The following is a 20,240-nucleotide window of genomic DNA, read 5'->3' as shown; positions in this document are numbered from 1 at the left end:
AATTACTGTATTTGTGTTTACAAGTAATGTCTGAAATGGCCTGAATTTTACCTACAGTTTATAAATTAAAGTGATAAAAAATGTTTTTCAAAAAAGCTTGAATTAGAAATGTCAGAAATGAAATCCATAAAACACATTGGGTCACCCCTCTAATACTTTATTATAGGCATATTCAAGCTGAAGACAGATAGATTTCTTACCCATAAAATACTATCTCCGTTCTAAAACCTGTCCACTGCTCTGGATATGAGAACAATATTATAACAGGTTTCCAATACAAAATACATAATTTGAAATTCTAATATAACTTAGAATTTTTATATTGAATAATAAAAGTCATAGACAAATGATTCATGCATTTTATGTTGTTTCGTTTAATAAACACATAAAATTCTATTTGTCAAGTAACTTCTGTACTAAGTGCTTTTAAAAATATAAACTTATGTAATCTTCATAAGAACCCTGTGAAGTAGAATGATACTGTTTCCACATTACCAATGGGAAATTGAGGCACACAGAGATTAATTTTCCCAACATCACACAGCTAAAAAGTGATCAAAATGCAATTTTTCATCAAACTGATGATGAATATTAGGCTTCATCATACATTTTGATATTTGAATATTTTTCTGGGCAGGATTTTTTTTTTAAAGAAAAAGAACATTCTTTTAATTGGCATACATCCTTAACTCACCTCCCTCTGGTGTTTGAAAGCTAATGATATTGCTTCTTGTTTTCCCATCACCAAATCTGGTGCTAGCTGTTACATAAGCACTGTATTCAACATTATAATCCAAATCTGATAACTCCAATGATGTTTCAGTGACATTAATAGTTTTTAATGATGATCTATTCCTGAGATAAAAAGAATATTATCTGTAGAATTGAATTTTAAAAGTTAACAATACTTTTTGAGCACACTAACATTAAAAGTAAACAACATTAATATATGGAAATTTATTCTAGATTAATAGAAAAAAGATGTTGGTTATCCTGAAATACTGAAAATAGTAAATTTCAGAATTCTTTAGTAAATTAACTTATTTTGCTTTTAATTATATTCAGTAATTAGATCAAATGTTAATATGATGTTCATAATTAGAGTTTGCTTGGACCAATTTTAATGGATATTAAGGAATACTATGTACTAAAGTAATTACAGTATTCCCTTTCATACTGATGTTTTCATTGTCCAAACATTTGTTCATTTCAAATGCTGGCAAAATCTTATTTAAACTATTAATTTATAAAATAAATCTATCCTTCAAATATCGTACAAAAGTAACATTTACTTCAGGCCAACACAAATAAATAAATAACAAATATCTAAATAGTGATATGTAAAATAACAAGGCTGTGGGCTCTCCTATAGTTATTTAATAGAAATGAGATTGGAAACAACGTATGTATATCATACAGGAAAGAAGAAAATATAGCTCACACCTCTCACTCAATCAAAATCTTTAAAGTATTTACAATATCACTCCAGAAAAGAAAACAAATCAAATAAATATTGACTCAAAACTCTCCAAGTACATATCAAAATCTCAGGAAGGGAAAAAAGAGTCTAAAGAACAAAATATAACACTATTTTATTTCAGTCATGTTAGTTCAGTTTCCACAGTTTGAACTGGGTATAGATTAATATCTAAAACCAAAAAATGAACATGTGTATAGTGATGCTGAAAAATGTGCATTATTTTTTATTTATATTTTAGGAATAATAAAGTTAGTTATTAAAGAATTTAGATAAGGGAATATGATCAGTAACACTGAAAAAGTATATGTCTCATGTAATCTCATATTTTTCTACTTTAGACACACAAAGCACTGAAGAAGTAAATGAATATTCCCTCTGAATAGAAAAAGCTCTTTCTTTACCATTGAAATATTTGAAGCCTTGAATCATTAGGAGGAATAATAAATTTTAAATGAAGTAAGGGTTTCCACAGAGATACATTTCAGTCATGGTTTTACTGCCACAGAAGCACCAAGTTATTCCAAATATAAGTTTTGTTTTCTGAAAAATAGTTGGAAAGCTTACCACAGTGAGAAAAATATGGATTCGGAGTATGTGATTGGAGACAGGCAGGATTAGCCAGGCTATTCAGCAATTTGAAACAGTTTCATTTGACATCCTTTTTCAGGAGCAGTCGGGAGAGTTTTCTTTGACTCCATTGAGACCAGAGGAGAGGGGCTTTTAAAACTCTTGATACTGTGGCTATTAGTCGCCAGAAAAGATGCCTTTTCATAGAAACTACCTAATTCCATACTCTTATCATTGGTCACAGGTCATCAGGACACTACAGAAGAGCTAATCCAACATGGATCTCTAAAACTATGCAATTAAGACGAGTGTGGTGGCTCACACCTGTAATGCCGGCACTTCGGGAGACCAAGGCGGTTGGATCACTTGAGACCAGGAGTTTAAGGTCAGCCTGGGCAACATGGCAAAACCCTGTCTCCACTAAAAATAAAAAAATTAGCCCTGCGTGGTGGGCAGACCTGTGGTCCCAGCTTTCAGGAGGCTGAGGCACGAGAATTGCTTGAGCTCAGGAGGCGGAGGCTGAAGTGAGCCAATATCGGCAACTGCACTCCAGCCTGGGCAACAGAGCAAGACTGTGTCTCAAAAAAATAAATAAAATAAAATAAATAAAATAAAATAAAGCTATGCTATTAGCTCAAGTAATCTAATTGCATTACATCAATTTTAAAAATTATTTTCAAAAATGTATTTCAATGTTATCTGCTACCTTGCATCACTACCTTCTTGCCCTGATTTTCACAGCAAAATCTTGTACATAAGTATCTACCAACTGTAAAAAAAAAGCCTCAGATTATGTTCCATAGATAATGCAGAATCAAGGCAATTACCTGGAAATGGATATCAAAAATAAATTTTTATCTCAAATAGATATTTTAGTAAAAAGAAGCTTGTTGTTATAAATTATGTTAATAAAAACATAGTAGTTCACTTCAGTTTGCATATATATAGTTTCAACATCTAGCTTGGTTTACTCCCAAGAGACAAAATTAAGCTAAAAAAATTTTTTTCAGATGCCTCATCTGTTTAGGGTTTATTTTTCTTTTGCAGTTTAGGATTGTGGCTGATATTTTAATAAATAAGTTAGAAAAATAGGGTAGCATGAATATTAATTAAAACAATTCAGAATATATCAAATATGTAAGAGGTTATTTGCTATAAAACTGATAACTAAAAGAAAGAGAAAGGAGACAGAATTGAACTGTCACCAAGGCTCGAACTCCATTTTCCTAGTAGCTGTTACCGAATTGCAGATAACACATAAATCTCTGTGCTGAAGTGTGAGCTCTCTAATCAAAGGAGCAATCTTCTGAGCAATCCTGAAGCTCAAAGTGTTCACTCCCTTTGAGCAAACCCTGTGTAGGAAATTCGTATGTAGGAAATTCATTTTTGACACTGCTATAATAAGTTGTTACTCTTGCTTTCAGCTGGCTTAGTTTTAAAATCTGTTTTATTCTTATTAGCTTAAAAATATTATAATTATTATGTGTTCCATTATGTTTTATTTTCATTTATAAAAAAGCATATGTTCTATATCCTGATTTTTTTCTCTTATCATGTTAACACCAATGATCTATATCATAATGTTTTTGTAGTTGCATAATTTGGATATATCATAGTTATTTAGTCATTCTATGAGTTAACTTTCAGGCTTTTTCTCTTTTTTATTTCTTTAGCTATTATTAACAATGATGCCATAGTTATCCTTAAAGAAGTATCTTTTCATAATAGTACTTTTATTTCTACATATTAAATTGTGATTCCTTTTAAACTTCTTTAAATTTAAATATATATATTTTTTAGCGACAAGGTCTTGTTATGTTGCCTAGGCTGGACTTGAATCCTGGGCTCAAGGTAACCTACCACCTTAGCCTTCCTTCAGAGTAGCTGGTACTACAGGCATGCAACCCTACACCAGGATACAAATTGTGTGTTTCTTGAGTCAAATGGTTTGAATGCTTTTTAAAATTTTAAGATTACTACTCCAAAATGATTACTGTATCAAATTTTAAGTTATAATAATTATAATTATTTAGAATCATACCACCAATGTGTGAGAGTACCCATTTTGACAAACTCACATAAATCTCTGGATATTATAAATATAGTTAGATTTTAGTAGATTTTTAGTTAGATTTTAGTTAGCCATTCCTGGCTGTGAGTGAGACAGAATGTCTTCTTACATGTTTGTTCGTCATTTGTGATCCATTAAAACAAATAATCACAAAAATAAACTTATTTATGGTTTTTTATATTTCATTTTAGTCTTTTAAATGAAAAACATTATTAGTCTGAGCTCTTTAGACACCATTCGTTAGACAGTGCAAGCAAAGTTAACTTTCACACCTTCTGAATTTAGAGATGATATGTACAAAATCAATATTCAACAAAATCCAACAAAATGTAATTAGCATCTACTTTGTGTCGGGCACTACTTTAGGCATAAATATGAGTAAGATACAGCCCCTATCCTCAAAATAGAGAGATAAAGCAGTAAATAATTCTAAAACAATTTGCTAATGACAATGTGACTTCCTTAAGGACAAGGACAATAACTTTTTCCCTTAGTAGCTAAAAGTAAAGAACAAAGAAAGAAATGAGCAAAGAAATTAGTTGTGACCACAGTATAAAAAAAGAGAATAAGGCATGGCCCCAGAGATCCAGGAAATTATTCACTAGAAAGCCAGTTTGTAAAGTTTGAGAGTAGGATAGGGAGTTGAGGGAGGTGGGAGAAGAAGAGAGGAGGCCTACAGGACAAAGCAGGTCTAACTCTTACATATCCAAAGTCATAAACTGTGTACAAAGTGAGGGAATATAAATGTTACACAATAATTATTATCTAAAATATATTACTTTTCAACACTGGCCAAATCTCCCAACCCAGTGACTGTTTTCAAACTGAGATGAAACTTGAGGGAAGTCCTCAGTAAAATGATTTTACTTATTTAACTCTAAACCTATTTTTGAATAGGTTTCGAAGCTTTTTCTAATTTAGGAAATGAAAAAAAAATTTAATTACTTTGAAATTATTCTGTAAAAATACAAGATGTAGTTGTTCTGTCTTTACTCATGGGTAACGCCAAAAAAAGTCTTCAATTGGGATAAATAGTCTCTAAGATGAAGTTATTTCCTAATTAATTTACATTTTTTTTTCAAAAGACATACCACATTTTGACATCTAGTGCATAAAAGAAATTCTAGATCAAAAGAGCAATTAATTTGCTTTACCAATTTCTTTGTTTCTCTCTTACAACACCAAGTCCATGCTAGGCCTATGAAGGAATCCTGAATACCCAAACCACAGTAAATAAATTTCTCTGTTTCCATAAGTATAAATGTGTATGGTTCTCTAGACAAGGTTTGAGACCCTTTGAAAAGTCATAGTCTTAGTTTTAATCTTTATCATTTGATATTTTGTTCCATGTGCATAATCTACCCTGATGATACATCTATCCCTGTTCATTTTTGTGAATTTATTTTCAAAACTTTAATCAGTTATTATCTAAATGTTGTAGATTAATCCTTTCACTCACTAAATAGAACTCCCCAAAATGAAGAATGTGAACACTCACTTACTTGACTCTTTATTAGATTATTTTTTTCCTCATATGAACCAGTGATGTTCATTAATTTTCCCATTATATAAGGAAACTACTCTTCGATGTTGTACTTTAGCATAATTACTCTATACAACTTGCTAGCATCAGTAGGCTAGTGATTATGTATTAAATAATCCCAAACTAGCAAGGCATAAACAGTTGCACATTCCTAAAGCTGTTCTAGCATCTCAGAGACAGTCTGAGTCAAAGCAAGGTATTCATTTGTTGTTATTGTTCCTATTGTCATCATTTGGTTGACTGGCTAACTTGGTTTGGTTTGGTTTGGCTTTGTTTTGCTTGTTTGCTTTTGGTAGGAAAGATACATTTAAAAGATTAAAGGACAAAGCCACTGAAGAGAATGAGTTTGAAGCTGAGGAAGCATACACTAATAATCCATAGATAGCTTTAGAGCAGACACAAGGAATTAGGATCCAGAAGGCAGGAGGAAGGATTGCACTTGAACTGAAAGAGAGAGATTTCATCCTCTGAGAATGGATGTAAATGAGTTGATGGATTCTGGAAGCAGGAATTTGAAATAGTCAAATTTTTGAGATAGTCACCTCAACTTTAAGTTTAGAATGGAAGCTGGGTTTGTCTGCTTTGAATGAGATGAGTGAGATTTAGCAAAGGGCTTGAAAATAGAGATGATTTGGGAAAATTTCTGAGGACAACAGGAGAGGAAACTGATCAAAAACATGAAAAATGACTTCCCAGGGGTGCTCAAAGATTAGTGAGATTAGAAAAAACAAGACTTTTAAATGTACAATACTTCTTTCTTTCATTATTTCAACAAGTATTTATTGAGGGCCTAAAATATAAGTTATTATACTCTGTGATGGAAATATGAAGGTGACAAAGACATAACCTCTGGCTTCAATGGGTTTATAGCCACATATTATCATCCCATTAGGGCTCCAAAATTTGAGTAAAATACTTCAGAAAATGGGCTATTGGAGGAATATACAATTATTAACTACCCGTTTCTCTCCTTTAAAGCTTATAAACTATTCAGATATTTTTATTTTCTTTTACAAAGTGTATAAGTTATATCTTACTAGAAGTTTAAGATTTCATCCATTTGAAATTTATTGTCATAAGGTTATTTTAAATGTCCATTTATTTATTTATTTATTTATGAGACAGAGTCTCACTCTGTGACCCAGGCTGGAGTGCAGTGGTATGATCACAACTCACTGCAGCGTCGATGGCCCCAACCCCAGGCTCAGGTGCTCCTCCCATCTCAGTCTCCTGAATAGCTGGGATACAAGCATATGTTACCATACCTGTTTATTTTTTCTAGAGATGGGGTCTCACCATGGTGCCCAGGCTGATCGCAAACTCCTGGGTTCAAGCCATCTGCCCACCTTGGCCTCCCAAAGTGCTGGGATTACAGATATTTCTTAATTTTTAGATATCTGTAGTTATGGTGCCCACGCTGGTCTCAGACTCCTGGGATCAAGCCATCTGCCCACCTTGGCCTCCCAAAGTGCTGAGATTAAAGATATCTCTTAATTTTTGAGTTATCTGTAGTTATGTCTCCTTTTTCATTCCTAACATTAAATTAAATGTGCTTTTTCTCCTTTTTCTGGATCATCTCCCCATTTCTTTTTTAACTCTGTATTTTAAATTACTTATTAGTTTTGTTTTTCTCTTTTGTAAATTTTTAATTTAGCTTCTATAAGTATGGAATTTATGGATTATATATGATTATTAATGATAATATGGGAATAATTATTCATGTTTCTTCCCTGTCTGCTTGAGAACTTATCAATTTTGTACAAAGGGAGAGCAAAGCATAATATTTAATACTTTAAAGCATCATGAATTAAATGTTAGAACACAATTTTTATTTGGAAAAGGGTCAATTTTTGTGAACAATAATAGTATAGTATAATAATGAATTAAATAACTTTGGTGTAAATTAAATTGTGTTCAGATGAATACAAGGTTAACAATTACTTGACAGGGTTTACATAGTATAAATATTTTTCAAAACATTTTTCTACTGGAAATTTTCAAAAGTTACAGGTTCTATAAATATAATCATAAAATTAATTTTATAAATGAAAGTGTCTTTTAACACATTTAGTCAAGAAATAAGAAAGATGGCCTTTTTACTGAAAGTTTGCCATGTGTTGTAGAAACAAAAATGATTTTTAAAAAAAGCTAAGGTGATGCAAAGTGCTTAATGTATAGCAAGCTTTAAAATATAATCAGTGGTGGAATGTCTTTTAGTAGAGGCTTTTTATTTATAAGCATAAAGCTCTAAAGGTTGGAAAAAATTACTTAAATAATTTTTTTCAGTAAATCAGTGCCCTTCCACTTTACTAAAGATATTTTCTTTCATTTTTTCTTCAATAGTTTCAAATATCTGATCACCACATTAATTTCTCATCATAAGGCTTTAAAAAAACAAAAGCTCATTAATTTTCATTTCTTAGAGAAAGTCCTGGTTAGGACTCTTAAATGTAACCAAATAGTATCAACGTTAGCCCCTGCTTTAAAAAATTTTTAAACACATGGTACTTGCCTTACTACAAATTTATAATATTGTTACTCCTGGCTCTCCCCAAAGAACATAATTTCAAACTGTCTGTTCTTCAGTTCCTCTAAAAAGCTGTGGAAAGTGTTGCTTATGGAAGACTTGGAGGATGGGCAAAACTTTAAATTTACTATTTTGGCCTTTGATCAAGCAGAAGCTACAGAAAGCCATATACATTATACATTTGATCTTAATTGTCTGTGAAATCACCTTCACCTTACTATATATATTTTTTGGGGAAATTCTTATCACTTTCCAATTCTATACCCACATAATTCTATTCACCATACAAAAACCACACTAATAGTCTTTGGACTGATATGTCCAACTGACTCTTCTGAAAGTTTCTGGAATTCCAATGTACAGAACTAGTTCTCCAACTTAGTTTCCTCCAACCAAAGCTTTAGCTCCCAAATCTAGCCTCTCTGCAATCTTCCTTTCTGTAAACACCTGCTTCTCTGAGATGGCCAATTCTGGGTTCCAATTCATACCCTGTCTCCATAGATTTTGATTTTTATGTGAAGATCCATATACCAGAGAAAGCACAGATAGGATGGGGCATAGAACTGTGGAAATCCAGAGCATTAGAGAGGTTAAATTAAAATTGATTGACCACAAACATGCTGAAATATGTCCATGTGGTTTCTCCTCTAGATTTTTGATGCTATCTCTTAAAAATTGTTTAGAATACTTACTGTGTTTCAGGCACTGAGCTAGTGACTTGTGATAAAGTACAGTCACTACACTAGACCTCACCAACTCGCAGGAAGATCCTTATTAAACAAGAAAATACAAATGTTATGAGAATTATAGAAAGGGAACTGAGCTTTTCAATAGGTCAAGTACGTATTATAATAATAATCAGTAGTATACTCCCATTGTTTTTTATAGTATCCACATTATTTAGGGAGGGAGAACTAAGGCAATTCAGTAATAAATTGACTTCTTATAAGTAGAACCACATACACATACACAGAGTAAGAAACCCGAGAGTGACAGAGACAGAGAGAGAGAGAGAGAGAGAGAGAGACAGAGAGAGAGAATATGACTGTTAGTATTACACAGAATTTTAAAATTTTATTTAAACCATGTACCCAAAGATGTATGATCACACTCCTGGAGAAAACATTCCACGGGCTTTCCGCTGCACTCGCAAGAAAATTCAAACTTCTTATTCTGGCTTCAAGACTCAATGTATATGGCCTAACCAGCTCTCCAGCTTTATCTACTCCCACTTTTATCCTGTGCCATTATACACAAGACACAAAGGCCATCTCATTGTTGACCACATCAAGCTTCTTGCTGTTAACCACACCTGATAACATTATCAGGACATTTCAGCTATATGTATCAATATATTCCCATTTTTGCTTAAGCCAATTTGGGATGAGTCCAGTACTTGAAACAAAAAGAATCTTGACTATTAGTAATCTTGACCTGTTCCCTTATTTCAATAGTTCCGCATATGCCTTGATTCTGAGGATTTCCACCATCTTCATCACTTCTCCCTGAACAAGCTCTACTCTGTGTATTCAAACTGTACTAACCAGTAATCCAACTGGTTTGACTCATGAAATAGTGTAATTATCATTCTGTCATAATAGATACAGTCCACCAATGAACACAGACCAATATTAAGCCAATAATTTTTTGGTAGAAATATCCCACATGAGTTGATGCAATAAGCTTACTTAAACTCCCTAAATATTTTTCACACATGCTGTTACCAAATTCAGACTTCTATAATCCTATAAATGCGCTGTTTTATTTTTAGAACAAAGGCCAATTATAACACATATCCCTATTGGTGTAGTAAAAGCATAATTTGAGAGTAACACAGATCTGGGTGTGAATTCTTATTCTGTCATCCTTAGCTCTGTAACCTTACCTGTGTCCTTAATCTCATCAAGAACATTTCCACAACTATAAAATGGGGATAATATTCTTTTCTCTGTGGTATTTTTGAAAAAAGAAAAAAATATGTAAGAAACATTTGTCTCAAAATGGTAACTAGTACACGGTAAGCTAAAAATACAATCCTAAGCCTGTCAACCAACAGAATCTTAAAAACAATGGAGTTTCTGGCCATGACAGGATGGGAGGTCAGACACACCTCAGTATATCCCCCACCACTTACTGTTAGACACAACAGCTGACCTAAATTAATGCTAAAATTGTGCAATATTCTGTTTTTACGCTGCTGATAAAGACATACCTGAGACTGGTAATTCATAAAGAAAAAGAAGTTTAATGGACTCACAGTTCCATGTGGCTTAGGAGGCCTCACAATCATGGCAGCAGGCAAAAGGCATGTCTTAATGGCGACAGGCAAGAAAGGATGAAAGCCAAGCGAAAGGGGAAACCCCTTGTAAAACCATCAGGTCTCATCAGTGTTCTGTATTCAGGAAACCCATATCACATGCAGAGACACACATAGGCTCAAAATAAAGGGATGGAGGAAGATCTACCAAGCAAATGGAAAACAAGAAAAGGCAGGGGTTGCAAACCTAGTCTCTGATAAAACAGACTTTAAACCAACAAAGATCAAAAGAGACAAAGAAGGCCATTACATAATGCTAAAGGAATCAATTCAACAAGAAGAGCTATCGATCCTAAATATATACGCACTCAATACAGGAGCAACCAGATTCATAAACCAAGTCCTTCGAGACCTAGAAAGAGACTTAGACTCCCACACAATAATAATGGGAGACTTTAACACCCCCTGTCAACATTAGACAGATCAATGAGACAGAAAGTTAACAAGGATATCCAGGAATGGAACTCAGCTCTGCACCAAGCAGACCTAATAGACATCTACAGAACTCTCCACCCCAAATCAACAGAATATGCATTCTTTTCAGCACAACACCACACCTATTCCAAAATTGACCACATAGTTGGAAGTAAAGCACTCCTCAGCAAATGTAAAAGAACAGAAATTATAACAAACTATCTCTCAGATCACAGTGCAATCAAACTAGAACTCAGGATTAAGAAACTCTCTCAAAACTGCTCAACTACGTGGAAACTGAACACCCTGCTCCTGAATGACTACTGGGTACATAATGAAATGAAGGCAGAAATAAAGATGTTCTTTGAAACCAATGAGAACAAAGACACAACATACCAGAATATCTGGGACACATTCAAAGCAGTGTGTAGAGGGAAATTTATAGCACTAAATGCCCACAAGAGAAAGCAGGAAAGATCTAAAATTGACACCCTAACATCACAATCAAAAGAACTAGAGAAGCAAGAGCAAACACATTCAAAAGCTAGCAGAAAGCAAGAAATAACTAAGATCAGAGCAGAACTGAAGGAAATAGAAACACAAAAAACCCTTCAAAAAAATCAATGAATCCAGGAGCTGGTTTTTTGAAAAGATCAACAAAATTGATAGACCACTAGCAAGACTAATAAAGAAGGAAAGAGAGAAGAATCAAATAGACGCAATAAAAAATGCTAAAGGGGATATCACCACCGATCCCACAGAAATACAAACTACCATGAGAGAACACTATAAACACCTCTATGCAAATAAACCAGAAAATCTAGAAGAAATGGATAAATTCCTCGACACATACACCCTCCCAAGACTAAACCAGGAAGAAGTTGAATCTCTGAATAGACCAATAACAGGCTCTGAAATTGAGGCAATAATTAATAGCTTACCAACCAAAAAAAGTCCACGACCAGAAAAATTCACAGCCGAATTCTACCAGAGGTACAAGGAGGAGCTGGTACCATTCCTTCTGAAACTATTCCAATTGATAGAAAAAGAGAGAATCCTCCCTAACTCATTTTATGATGCCAGCATCATCCTGATACCAAAGCCTGGCAGAGACACAACAAAAAAAGAGAATTTTACATGAATATCCCTGATGAATATCAATGCAAAAATCCTCAATAAAATACTGGCAAACCAAATCCAGCAGCACATCAAAAAGCTTATCCACCATGATCAAGTGGGCTTCATCCCTGGGATGCAAGGCTGGCTCCACATATGCAAATCAATAAACATAATCCAGCATATAAACAGAACCAAAGACAAAAACCACATGATTATCTCAATAGATGCAGAAAAGGCCTTTGACAAAATTCAACAGCCCTTCACGTTAAAAACTCTCAATAAATTAGGTATTGATGGGACGTATTTCAAAATAATAAGAGCTATCTATGACAAACCCACAGCCAATATCATACTGAATGGGCAAAAACTGGAAGCATTCCCTTTGAAAACTGGCACAAGACAGGGATGCCCTCTCTCACCACTCCTATTCAACATAGTGTTGGAAGTTCTGGCCAGGTCGATTAGGCAGGAGAAGGAAATAAATGGTATTCAATTAGGAAAAGAGGAAGTCAAATTGTCCCTGTTTGCAGATGACATGATTGTATATCTAGAAAACTCCATCGTCTCAGCCCAAAGTCTCCTTAAGCTGATAGGCAACTTCAGCAAAGTCTCAGGATACAAAATCAATGTACAAAAATCACAAGCATTCTTATATACCAATAACAGACAAACAGATAGCCAAATCATGAGTGAACTCCCATTCACAATTGCTTCAAAGAGAATAAAATACCTAGGAATCCAACTTACAAGGGATGTGAAGGACCTCTTCAAGGAGAACTACAAACCACTGCTCAATGAATTAAAAGAGGATACAAACAAATGGAAGAACATCCCATGCTCATGGTAGGAAGAATCAATATCGTGAAAATGGCCACACTGCCCAAGGTAATTTATGGATTCTATGCCATCCCCATCAAGCTAGCAATGACTTTCTTCACAGAATTGGAAAAAACTACTTTAAAGTTCATATGGAACCAAAAAAGAGCCCACATTGCCAAGTCAATCCTAAGCCAAAAGAATGAAGCTGGAGGCATCACGCTACCTGACTTTAAACTATACTACAAGGCTACTGTAACCAAAACAGCATGGTACTGGTACCAAAACAGAGATATAGATCAATGGAACAGAACAGAGCCCTCAGAAATAACGCCTCATATCTACAACTATCTGATCTTTGACAAACCTGACAAAAAAAAGCAATGGGGAAAGGATTCCCTATTTAATAAATGGTGCTGGGAAAACTGGCTAGCCATATGTAGAAAGCTGAAACTGGATCCCTTCCTTACAACTTACACAAAAATTAATTCAAGATGGATTAAAGACTTAAATGTCAGACCTAAAACCATAAAAACTCTAGGAGAAAACCTAAGCAATACCATTCAGGACATAGGCATGGGCAAGGACTTCATGTCTAAAACACAAAAAGCAATGGCAACCAAAGCCAAAATTGACAAATGGGATCTAATTAAACTAAAGAGCTTCTGCACAGCAAAAGAAACTACCATCAGAGTGAACAGGCAACCTTCAGAATGGGAGAAAATTTTTGCAATCTACTCATCTGACAAAGGGCTAATATCCAGAATCTACAAAGAACTCAAACAAAATTTACAAGAAAAAAACAAACAACCCCATCAAAACGTGGGCAAAGGATATGAACAGACACTTCTGAAAAGAAGACATTTATGCAGCCAAAAGACACATGAAAAAATGCTCATCATCACTGGCCATCAGAGAAATGCAAATCAAAACCACAATGAGATACCATCTCACACCAGTTAGAATGGTGATCATTAAAAAGTCAGGAAACAACAGGTGCTGGAGAGGATGTGGAGAAATAGGAACACTTTTACACTGTTGGTGGGACTGTAAACTAGTTCAACCATTGTGGAAGTCAGTGTGGCGATTCCTCAGGGATCTAGAACTAGAAATACCATTTGACCCAGCCATCCCATTACTGGATATATACCCAAAGGATTATAAAACATGCTTCTATAAAGACACATGCACACGTATGTTTATTGTGGCACTATTCACAATAACAAAGACTTGCAACCAACCCAAATGTCCAACAATGATAGACTGGATTAAGAAAATGTGGCACATATACACCACGGAATACTATGCAGCCATAAAAAATGATGAATTCATGTCCTTTGTAGGGACATGGATGAAGCTGGAAACCATCATTCTCAGCAAACTATCACAAGGACAAAAAACCAAACACCGCATGTTCTCACTCATAGGTGGGAATTGAACAATGAGAACACATGGACACAGGAAGGGGAACATCACACACCGGGGCCTGTTGTGGGGTGGGGGGAGGGGGGAGGGATAGCATTAGGAGATACACCTAATGTTAAATGGTGAGTTAATGGGTACAGCACACCAACATGGCACATGTATAGATATGTAACAAACCTGCACGTTGTGCACATGTACCCTAAAACTTAAAGTATAATTTTAAAAAATTGTATTAAAAGTAATATGTGATTAAAGACATAAAATACAAAAAATAAAAAAGCCATCAGGTCTGATGAGACTTATTCACTACTATGAGAACAGTATGGGGGAAACCGCCACAGGATTCAATTATCTCCTACCAGTCCCTCCAACAACATGTGGAAATTATGGGAGATACAATTCAACATGAGATGAGAGTTGGGTGGGGACACAACCAAACCATATGAAATAGAGACCACGAGGCTGAGAGAACAGACTGTTCGTGACAATAAGATACCAAATTATAAACATGACATATGGCCATGTCAGGCAAGGGTTAAGACATGTATCCCCCCCAATCCCCACCCAAAACACACACTTAACCTATGCTCTAACTGCCATAGGTTTTATTTTTCTCTAGCAGTTAAACAAGCACTGGACTCAAGATAAGCAATATTAAAACAATTGTAGCTCACCATCAGACAGAGACTAACTGAGCCCCTGTTCCACAAGCCATAATTACAGCTTTGATTGGACAAGATACTGATTTCAGTAACTTTCTCCTGATAAGACCACTGACCATGGACTGGTTCTGGCTAATTTACAGAGGCTGTGCACTTGAATGACTTTGTGTACTGAAAAAATCATTTGATGTATAGGACCTAATTGTAATACATTTAAATGTGAAGTCTCAACCCCAAAGTGAACATGGATCGTTTGTTACATACATGTTTGTTCAATACACATGTGTCAGGACCACCTTCCTGAATATTCATAGCTCCTCCTGTAGCAGGTTAAATATGTATGTTTAGCTAACCCTTTCCGCATAAAGCTCCTACCCCGATCCCTCCTCCTTCAAAGTGCCCATCTCCGGTCTTTGCTGGAGGCACACTTCCCAGTGTGAGAGATGGCCACTTTGAAGGCTGTCATCCTTTAAAAGAAATAAAGTCTCCTTTCCAAATTTTTAGATTGTGAGATTTTTAAGTTAATAGCACTATTCTTGATTCAGTTCCTTCAGCTTTCTGAGACATTTTGTTCCCTAAGTCTGACATGCAAAGAAATCACAAACTCTCTCAGTGTTCTGCATTTCAAAAACTTGATGAGAAGATTGCCTAAATCAACAGTTAATAACTCAAGATTCAGACAAGTAAAATAAATGACTAAAAAGTTTCGTTTAAAATAAGGTTTGGTGGCAGGAAGTAAAAGTTCTCTATAATAAAAACTATAAAACATTGATGAAAAAAAGTGAAGAGGACACCAAAAAATGGAAAGCTATTCGATGTCATGGGGTGGAAGAATCAATATTATTAAAATATCCTATCTATACTACCCAAAGCAATCTACAGATGCAATGCAATCTCTGTCAAAATATCAAAGACATTCTTCACAGAAATAGAAAAAATATCCTAAAATTTATATGGAACCATGAAAGACCCAGAATAACAAAGCTATCCTAAGCAAAAAGAAAAAACTGGAGGAATCGCATTATCTGACTTCAAATTATACTACAGAGTTATAGTAACCAAAATAGTATGGTACTGGCATAAAAACAGACACATAGACCAATGGAACAGAATAGAGAACGCAGAAACAAGTTCACATACCTACAATGAACTCATTCTTGCTAAAGATGCCAAGAACATACATTGGATAAAGGACAGTCTCTTCAATAAATGGTGCTGGGAAAACTGGATATCCATATGCAGAAGAATGAAACTTGACCTCCATCTTTCACCATATACAAAAATTAAATCAAAATGGATTAAAGACTTAAATCTAAGACCTCAAACTATGAAACTATTGCATTGGGTAAAATCTCCAGGATATTGATCTGGGTGAAAATTTCTTGAGTAATACCCCACAAGCATAGGCAACCAAAGCAAAAACGGACAAACAGGATCACAACTAGTTAAAGAGCTTCTGTACAGCAAAGAAAACAATCAACAAAGAGAAAAGACAACCCACAGAATAGGAGAAAATATTTGCAAACTGTCAATCTGACAAGGGATTAATAACCAGAATGCATAAGCAGCTCAAACAACTCTACAGGAAAAAGAACTAACAATCCAATCAAAAATGGACAAAATATTTGAATAGACATTTCTCAAAAGATAACATACAGATGTCAAGGGGGCTTATGAAAAGGTGCTCAACATCATTGATCATCAGAGAAATGCAAATCAAAACTACAGTGAGATACCATCTCACCCCAGTTAAAATAGCTCTTCTCCAAAAGACAGGCAATAACAAATGTTGGAGAGAATGTGAAGAAAAGGGAACCCTTGTACACTGTTGGTGGGAATACAAATTAGTAAAATCACTACGGAGAACAGTTTGGAAGGTCCTCAAAAAACTAAAAATAGAGCTAATGTAAAATCTAGCAATCCTACTGCTGGGTATATAGCCAAAAGAAAGGAAATCAGTATATGGAAGAGATATCTGCACTTACATGTTTGTTGCAGTACTCTTCACAATAGCCAAGATTTGGAAGCAACCAAAATGTCCATCAATGGTTGACTCGATAAAGAAAATGTGGTACATCTATACGCAATGGAGTACTATGCAGCAATAAAAAAGAATGAGATGCCATCATGGTCATTGTGTTAAGTCAAATAAGTCAGGCACAAATGACAAACTTCACATGTTCTCATTTATTTGTGGATGCTAAATATCAAAACAATTGAATTTATAGAGATAGAGAGTAGAAGCATGGTTACCAGAAGGTGGGAAGGGTAGTGAGGAGGGGTGGGGAAAGTGGGGATGGTTAATGGGTATAAAAAAATAGAAAGAATGAATATGATCTAGTATTTGACAGTGCAACAGGGTGACTACAATAAATAATAATTAATTGTACATTATAAAATAACTAAAAGAGTATAATTGGATTGTTTATAACACTAAGGACAAATGCTTGAGGGGATGGATACCCCATTTTCCATGATGTTATTACTTGTTACACGCTTGTATCAAAGTATCTCATGTACCCCATAAATATATAAACCTACTATGTACCTACAAAATTTTCTTTCAGATAAAATGAAATAAGAGGGTGTGATGGGAATCACGGTAAACAACTAAGCAAATGCTTCAAATAAAAGACAGCCACCATTCAACTCTGCTGATTTTTTTTTGCCACAGGAAATATGGCAAAAGTGTTCTGATTTTTATAAGAAACAAAGGAAATTGAAGTTTTACAAGAGATCTACTCATTTTTTTAACACTGACAATCAATTCTAAATTTATGACCCACTTGCAAATCATGAGTGGCCATGGGCTTGACCTTGGCACTCAAGCTTCAGAGTGATTCAGAAAAATGACTATCAGGAAAGAGTTGAGAGAGAACATTGGTCAGAACATTGGTCATCCCACTAGAAACCTCATATTAAGCCCTAAAGAGCATTCATATGCTCTACCGCTCCATCTATCTGTATTTCTTTCTTTCATCTTCCCAACTTAGCCTCAGTACTCCATGTCTATAATGCTACTTGTCAAACTCTTGACAGTCATTCCTGCTGCCTTCATACACTGCCTCCACTGAGATGCTCTCCTAATTCACAAATCTATCTTTACCACTTTCACTCCAAAATGGATATAACTTCAGAAAATCTGAAATGGCCCCCTTCCCATTCTGATGATTGATCTATATTATATGCAGTAACCATGAGGTCATTTTTAACACGGTGAAAATCTTTTAGAAAACTTGGAGAAACTAGAGTAGGTATACTTTTTTAGGATTCAGAAGTCCATTTACAAAGGTAATCTTTTATGTTACTGAGGGAATTATTTGACCAGTGATATTTAATAAAGAGCTGCATTAGAATTATTTTGACTTCCTAATATATTCTTTGGCAAGTGTTTTTCAATTATTTCACATGGGCATATCTTATCTGCAATAAGTCATCAATCGTTTTAAGGTGCTGTATGTTATATATCTCCCCACAGAGTTTAATAAACATTTGTCAGACTGTTTCAGAATTACCTCTTATAATTACTACTAAGAAAATTGAGAAACATTTCAGAGTCAAGATTTGTATATAAGTTAGAACTTTCAGCATCACTTTCAGTCCTCAGTCTTTTAGCTATAGAGGGTATATTCTCTTAGAAGTTTCCTAAAGAAAGAAGAAAACTACTGTTAAATTTTACTGACACATCTAAAAGTAAAAGTGCTAAACAATTACAAGTTGAATTCAAGAAAATAGTAAATAAATAAGTTCTACTGGAACATCATGCCTCAATTCAAAATGAATTAAAACAATAAGCTTACAGTGCTCCAATAGAAATCCATTTATTTAATGGTGGTTGCCCTAGGAATTCAAGGACTGTGTATCATTTGAAAAATACGTGTTATTTATCAATAACTGCAGGGGGGAAATGCTAGTTTACCATCTTGATGGATGATAAAAGTTATTTTGCAAAGCAAACTTCAGAAGGAAAAATCATTTTAAAATGCAATGGATTAAAACAGATTTCTGAACATACCATCTACAAATCAAATGTGACTCATACAGTAATGGATATAAAATGGTTACACATTAACCCTCATGAGTTATTTTGTCAAGAAATATTCATGATAAAGAAAAAAGTTACCCAATATAATAAATGTCATAGGCAGCCTGCATTTTGAAGACACACTCAAAAAAAAAAAAAAAAGAAATATTCAGTCAGGTGTAGTGGCTCACGCCTGTAATCCCAGCACTTTGGGAGGCTGAGACAGGAGGATCACCTGAGGTCAGGAGTTCAAGACCAGCCTGGCCAACATGGCAAAACCCCATCTCTAGTGAAAAATAAAAAGAAATAAAAATAAATTAGCTAGGTGTGGTAATGGGCACCTGTAATCCCAGCTACTCGGGAGGCTGAGGCAGGAGAATCACTTGAACCCAGGAGGCAGAGGTTGCAGTGAGCCAAGATGGCGCCATTGCTCTCCAGCCTGGGCAACAGAGCGAGACCCCCTCTCAAAAAAAAAAAAAGGAAATATTCAAATAAATGTTTTTTACAAGAATTTGGTAATTATTGGAGCAGCTGAAATAATGGCAACTGAGAATTATGAGAGAACTATGGACTCCTGAAACAGTAATCCTGCTAACAATGATAGCTACCATTTATTAAGTACTTTACAGGAACCAAAGATAACTGAGTGTCAGAGCCAAGATTCAAACCCATGTCTCACTGACTAAAAACCCATGTGTATTACATTATGATACCTGCCTCCTCTCCCCAAAACTGATTATGGTAAGAGTCCCCAAAAAAGATTAGTGATCACTAATGAAGGAATCCAGAATTATGACCATTTCCTTCGCTACACTTACTATACCTTACAGGGCTATTTCCAACTAAGGATGTTAGTAAGACACTAAAGTATGTTAATAAGATACTAAAGCATAAAGCTTCCAGCAAGCATCTTAGTAAGACAATGCTGAAAATTTAAATATATGTGTATATTTAATTATATATATTACATATATATTATAGATAATATTCTTGAATATGTTAAGGTCTATCCTTTTTTGTTCTATCTTTATGTAATCTTACTCTTTTCCACTGAGTCATCCATTATCTGAAAAAGCATCACTATTCTTATTGCAGAAATACAATAAGAAAAAATATATATAACAATTATATATAATAATATGTAATAATTATATAATACCTAATGTAATATAATCATATATAATATATACATATACTTATATTGCATATATATCATATATAAAAATATATATTATACAAATATATATTTTGTATACAAAATATACAAATATATTT

General features: G+C 34.4%; 1 protein-coding gene and 1 long non-coding RNA gene across 2 annotated transcripts in view; one reads left to right on the top strand and one right to left on the bottom strand.

The window, feature by feature from the left end:
• Positions 1-4,296, top strand: part of LOC105369867 (uncharacterized) — a 176,665-nt gene extending 172,369 nt beyond the window's left edge. Inside the window, exon 5 of the long non-coding RNA XR_007063388.1 lies at positions 2,292-4,296. This is a non-coding gene — a long non-coding RNA (uncharacterized LOC105369867). The remainder of the gene's footprint in view (positions 1-2,291) is intronic.
• Positions 1-20,240, bottom strand: part of PTPRQ (protein tyrosine phosphatase receptor type Q) — a 236,039-nt gene that overhangs the window by 145,404 nt on the left and 70,395 nt on the right. Inside the window, exon 18 of the mRNA NM_001145026.2 lies at positions 695-855. Coding sequence (NP_001138498.1) covers positions 695-855 — 161 coding nt within the window. The remainder of the gene's footprint in view (positions 1-694; positions 856-20,240) is intronic.

This window comes from Homo sapiens, chromosome 12 (assembly GCF_000001405.40).
Source record: "Homo sapiens chromosome 12, GRCh38.p14 Primary Assembly".
In the NCBI taxonomy this organism is placed as follows: domain Eukaryota; kingdom Metazoa; phylum Chordata; class Mammalia; order Primates; family Hominidae; genus Homo; species Homo sapiens.
Note: the sequence above shows the minus strand (reverse complement) of the source record. Positions and strands in the feature narration are given on the sequence as shown.